This window comes from Homo sapiens, chromosome 6, assembly GCF_000001405.40.
Source record: "Homo sapiens chromosome 6, GRCh38.p14 Primary Assembly".
Classification (NCBI taxonomy): Eukaryota; Metazoa; Chordata; class Mammalia; order Primates; family Hominidae; genus Homo; species Homo sapiens.
In genome coordinates this window covers 121,015,065-121,021,064 of record NC_000006.12, presented here as the reverse complement: position 1 = coordinate 121,021,064, position 6,000 = coordinate 121,015,065, and the positions used below count along the sequence as shown (strand labels likewise).

Here is a 6,000-nt window from a genome sequence, read left to right as displayed (position 1 = left end):
TACTTTCCATTCTGTAAATATACATGAGGTATATATATTCCTTCCATTTTAACTACCTATTTTAGTTTAAGTCTTTATGCAGAGAGAAGATTCTACAAAATTTCTCTTTGCTGGAAAACAAGAGATTAAAAGCCAGACTCCAGTCTTTAGATCAATCACTGGTTCCATATGGTGAATGTTCTCTTTGATGGCATCATTTAGAACTTCAAGAAATTTTGCTCAGATTTAAAATTCTCATTATGGGCTTTGCCAAAGCAGCTTAATGCAAAGCAATCTTAGCTTTAAAAATTTAGAAATTGCTGAGGAGATATACAGTTTAGAGCCAAAAACTGAAACCTGTGAGATAAAATGGGTCAGAGGAAAAAAATTCTAGCACATTCTAAAAGACTACTGCTCTCTGAAAATAAAATACCTTCATTATGGTTTTTAATGGTTCTTTTCTATATAGAGCTACATTCATTCTTCTGTAGCTTGTAGGTCCCACCCCAATTTATAGGAAAACATGACATATAGCTGATAGAGATTTTTCTTAACATTTACCACTTCCTTCAGCTTTGGAATGAATCCCAATTGGAATTGGTATTATAAGTTACATGTTTTCTCTGCTCTTCAAGCAATATTGATCTCCTTCAAATCCATTTCTTTGTCTTCTAGAAAAACGGACATCTCTGTTTCTGCAGCATGTCCTGTATGGCCGTTTTCAGTGGACAATAAAAGAAAATACATTCATTTTCCCCCAAGAAGCACTATATTCTGTCATTATATTAACCCTGGCCTATCTTAGAGCTTTTTGGTGTCTCTTAATTTTAACCCCTTTCCATAACACCATCTTATTGTTATTGGGTTTCGGGATATATTGGTAACTTAACTATTTTACCTGCAAAGGTGTTTTCCGTATTTTATGTGGACTCCCATAATGCTTATATTTTCTTCCATATTTTAATGTTTGCTGAATTGACATATGCATAATTTTCCTTGCGTATTTTTCCACTCAGATTTTTAAGTATCACTATCTTCTCTATGGTAAAAAGAACCAAGTAATATTTCTTTAAATAGAACAGAAAAGAGATAATAAGCAGCAGGAAAGTGTGCAGAGCCATCACAGTGATAGATTGGCAATATCTTTGTAATTATTTCTATCATAACTCTTACAGTGATAACACACAATGACTTCAATAGAAGATATACGTATTTAAGTTTCCTTGGGAATGTCAAACACAATATGCTAGAGAGAGGTGCAAGGCATATTGCCGCACATTCATAATGCCAACAAATTGGAAACAACCTAATTTAAAATTTCTTTTTTCAAAATTAATGCTTTCTTTGCTCTATCCCCTCTATTTTCTACACAATGTATGGGAGGAATAGGCAAAAAAAATTCTCAATTTGCAGTGGAGATGGAAGGAAACGAGAGAATCAACATTTTTTGACCAACCTCTTTGGGTCAAGATTTCACATAAATTGCCTCGTTGATTCTCACAGCAATGTTCTGATTCCTATGTGTGTATAATTTTTTCCACCATATGTATGAGGAAATGAAGACTCAGTTCAAGTAATGAACCAAAGGTTGAATTGCTAACAAGAAGCCATAAAGGGATTTGAATTAACTCAATGTGACATCAACTCTGGATGACTATGACACTATGTGGTGGGGCGTGAGAAGGAAAAGAAGCATGTGGCATCCGTAGAACAGCTTGAGCGCATTAATGTGTCATTCATTGAAAGAATATTTAGCTATCTTCAAATCTATCCATTTTAGTGTTTGATGAAAGCTGAGCAAGTATAATTCAATTAGTTGTGATGTGGATATGTTCAAAGTGATGGTAAAGACTGAATTTGAACTTAATGAGACATTCATGATTTCATAGATGACTAAGTTAAAATAACTGAAGGGTCATTAAACACACAGGATTGATAACTAAAGCATCTTGCTGAATGATTTTCTTTGGCTCTCTTTGAGAATGGGGGAACATAAATTACCATCTTTTCCAAGTTAAGTAGATGAGAGAGAATATATTCTTCATAGTTTCTTCAACAACTAAGTATACCTTTATGAATTATTCTAACAATTGAATCTTTTATCCTGTGCTTCCTCAAACACTTAATGTACCATAATACTTTGCAAGTGATTTATGCCTGGTCACCCAGGTTCTGTAAATGTGTTTGGAGTATTACATATACTATTCAGTGAACTGGTTAATAAGCTTTTTCAGGGCAGTGATCAGCTCTTTAAATGTTTTACTGGGGTGCATCAGGGAGAGGCATAATGGGAGAGAAGGGCAAGGAGGCCAATATTTTAGTAAAATATGTAGAGCAACATATAAGACTGAGAGGTAGTGAACATAAGAAGTTAGGAAAGCCAAAGAGAATGATATCATGAGTCAAAAGAAAGAGATCTAGAATGAGAGGAGAACCAAATACTGCAGAGAGGTTGAGAAGCATGGGGTTGACAAAAGGCTACTTGTTTTTAAGAAAGTGATCATTGACAATTTTACTAGACTGATGAGAAATTAAAGCAGACTATAGAGTGTTGATGAATGAACTGGAGATGAGAATATGGAGGCAAAAAGTATGTATTATCTTATTTTTCTAGAAGCTTGATGATAAAGGAGTGGAAAAAGTTGGTGTGGTGACTTGAAGGGAAATTAAAACCAAGGACAGGTAGTTTTCAGATAAAATACTTGAGCATGTTTAGAGATGAAACAGAAGGAATAAGAGGTTGGGAATAGATTGGGGATAAGCAATAGAGGAGACATTATCAGTCAGTGCTAATCATGTGTGATCTGGTACCAGACCACTAGAGTTTGAAACTTGAATTTATAATAGATATTTATAAAAATATTTTTATTAGTTCTGTGGACCTGGACAAACTTCAGTTTTGTCACTTACTTAAAGAGGGATAATTTAGGGTTGTTGTGAAGATTAGGTGTTACAGTACTTTAAAGTGCTTAGTCCAGTGGCATGTGGTAAACATGAGATACACAACAGCTATTATTATTGTTGTTGTTAGAAAGCTCCTAAACAGAAATCATAGATGAAGGTATTGGTGTAAAAAAGTAAATAAGCATCACCTTTTCTTACTGAGGAAGATAGTACTGATGATGTTATAGTTTACATGTACGAGGTAAAATGAAGGAGAAAATATCAGATGGACTCAAGTTTTGTTTGTTTGTTTGTTTTTTTTTCAAAGAAGGGAGTTAGATTATCAATTGGGAACAAATGCTTAATCATACTAGATTTGGTTTGAAACAACTTTGTTCCGTTGACAAAGAGAATTATGCAATAATGATAAGTAAAATAATGGGTGGAAAACATTGAAGACTACTAAAGTTGAAAAACATAAATTTTATTGTAGGTGATCTTTACTGTTATGTCATTTTTCTCCAGTAGTTTGCAATAGTCCAGCAGAAAGAAATAGAAAAACAGGTATTTTTGTTCTTCAAAGTTGAGGATAGGAGAACTTGTTATGGTAAAAGTTTGGATGGCCAGGAGATTTGTGAAAGCTGGTAAGAAAGGAGTTGAAGTAGGGTTTAGACTGGATTGGGAAGGAAATGAGACTAGGAATGGATAATTTAACGGTAAATTATGTTGAGGTTGTAAAACAAGATCAGTAAATCCAGCTGTAGGAGGAGGAAGTTGAATCAGAGAAGGGAATTTCAGTAGTTCAAAATTTCAGGGGTGTAGATGTATAGATGTTGAGTGCCATAGTGATCTCCATGTTTATTGGTCAAGTTGAGTAAAGGTAAATTTAGAATAGTTTCATATTCTGTAAATGCAGCAGGGAGCATGCTGACAATTAGGCCTAAAATTTATTTATGAGGGCAGCAGAGATCCAGAGAATATTTACTCCTTGCCTTGTAAGTCTACTGTATCAGGGTCAAAACTCTTATTGAGAAGGTATAGAATCCTGAGATTTGGGATGGGGACATTTGAGTCAAAACACTTGAAAACCTGAATCCTCACATTCCTCTGAAATCTCAGCGTGCAGATATGGCCGACTTTTCCTTGTTGAAGACAAATGTTCTACCATCTTCTGGAAGATGATATAGACAACACATGCTGACCTCCATCTCTCCTCTTGTATTAACATAACCCAACTGGGATAATGCTGGACTTTCTATAGAAAAGAAAGGACCTAGTTAATGTGTTTCAGGAAGAGCCTGGAGAATATGTGTGGGGCTGGATTCTGGGGATAACTGAATTGAGGGAGAACAGAACTTAGTTGGATAAGATAGTTTATTGATATGGAAATGCTTTCTTCTGATATAGGATTTAACACTGCATCAAAGACCCCAAGAAATGCTATTAAAATGCAAATAAGTTGGTTCTTAGAAGTTTGGAGAAAGCAATGGCACACATTTAAAGAAGCAGAAATGCTAGAGTTGCTATAGCAGACAATGGAAGAAGAAACCAAGAGACTCGGAGAACATGCAGGAGGGATGTATTAGGTAAGCACAGAGGATACTCCATTTTCCACAGCCGTAAGTAATGTTCTCGTGAAAGGAACCAGCTTCACTGAGAAGCTCAGTGGTGGCCGTCCTCTGTGGGTTATGGCTGATGATAGAATTGGTGTTACAGAACTGGAGTCCCTAATTGCAATGGAAATGTTAGGATTTTGGAATAATCAAAGCCAGCTTACAGTATTTAAACCATTTGAAGCAAGATAAATGAGTGGCAGTGTCAGAGAGGCATGTGTATGTGTATGTTTGTGCATGAGTATGTGTGTGTGTTTCTGTGTATGTGTGTGCTGACTTACAGAAAGCTATGGAAATGTTTACTAGAACACGACATGCCTAGTGGTGTGATTTAAACTCTACAAAACGTAATTGGTCTATTTCATCACCTACAGAATGGTCTGCAAACTGGTGGGGCATCCCCTCAAATGTATAGTACAAATTGTTTCATCTTATAATTCTCATTACTTAGTAATAGTGCTCAGACCCATTTACAAGTGACTGAAAGATTTTAGTTTTCACTAGGGCTCAGAGCAGGTCCAGGATGGAATTGACATAATAGTCTGGGGTTTTTTGCATTTCCTGAAACTAAGCCTCAGCCAACATCAGTACTTGTGAACTGACAGAGTATGAGGCAGGAGTGGCCTCGCTTATCATTCCTGGTGGTCTACTGGGATAATTTGTGCTTCCTGTCCTCAAATTCTAGGTTCTGAGCAACTAGAATTCTTGTTCCACAGAGTGGGGATGGGTCTACCAGGAGACACAGTATGAATCATATTAAAATTGAAGGTATGGCTGCTGTATGGTCACTTTGGCTGCCAGGAGTATTGGCTGCTCTTAGCTTAGAGTTGAATACCTCTCTACCGATTGTTTTTATCCAAAGGGACCTGCCTTAAAAAGGTCATGCCCTTTCTTTGGGAACAACCCTGCTATCCAATGACTAGTCAATATGGGGTTTCAGGGACTCAGCCCTTTTGCCTCAATTCCAGGCACATATGAGGGGTAACCTCAGCTCTTGGACTTCCTGTGTGATTTTCTCAGTCCCCTGTTGTCTGTAACAGTTCAGTTTCCATTTCTGCCTAATTCTGCTTCCTTCACTTCCTTACAAATCTTGTTCCTAGGAGCAACCTTTAAGAAAACTACTACACGTAAATTTCTGTCACAGAGTCTGTTCTCTGAGTACTCAAACTAAGTAATATGGTTTGGCTCTGTGTCCCCCCCAAATCTCATGTTGAATTGTAATCGCCATGTGTCGAAGGAGGCGTCTGGTGGGAGGTGATTTATCATGGGGGCAGTTTCCCCATGCTGTTCTTGTGATAGTGAGGAAGGTTTCACAAGATCTGATTGGTTTCAAGGTGGCAGTTCCTGCCGGGCATGGTGGCTCACACCTGTAATCCCACCACTTTGGGAGGCCAAGACAGGTGGATTGCTGGAGCTCAGGAGTTTGAGACCACCGTGGGCAACATGGCAAGACTCTGTCTCTACCAAAAATACAAAAAGTTAGCCGAGCATGGTGGTGTGTACCTGTGGTCCCAGCTACTTGGGA

The 6,000-nt window shown here is 37.3% G+C and overlaps 1 long non-coding RNA gene across 1 annotated transcript in view; it reads left to right on the top strand.

Moving 5' to 3' along the window:
* Nucleotides 1–3,831: 3,831 nt before the first annotated feature.
* The window catches only part of LOC105377977 (uncharacterized), a 46,633-nt gene continuing 44,464 nt past the window's right edge, over nt 3,832–6,000 (top strand). The window contains exon 1 of the long non-coding RNA XR_942934.2: nt 3,832–4,448. This is a non-coding gene — a long non-coding RNA (uncharacterized LOC105377977). The remainder of the gene's footprint in view (nt 4,449–6,000) is intronic.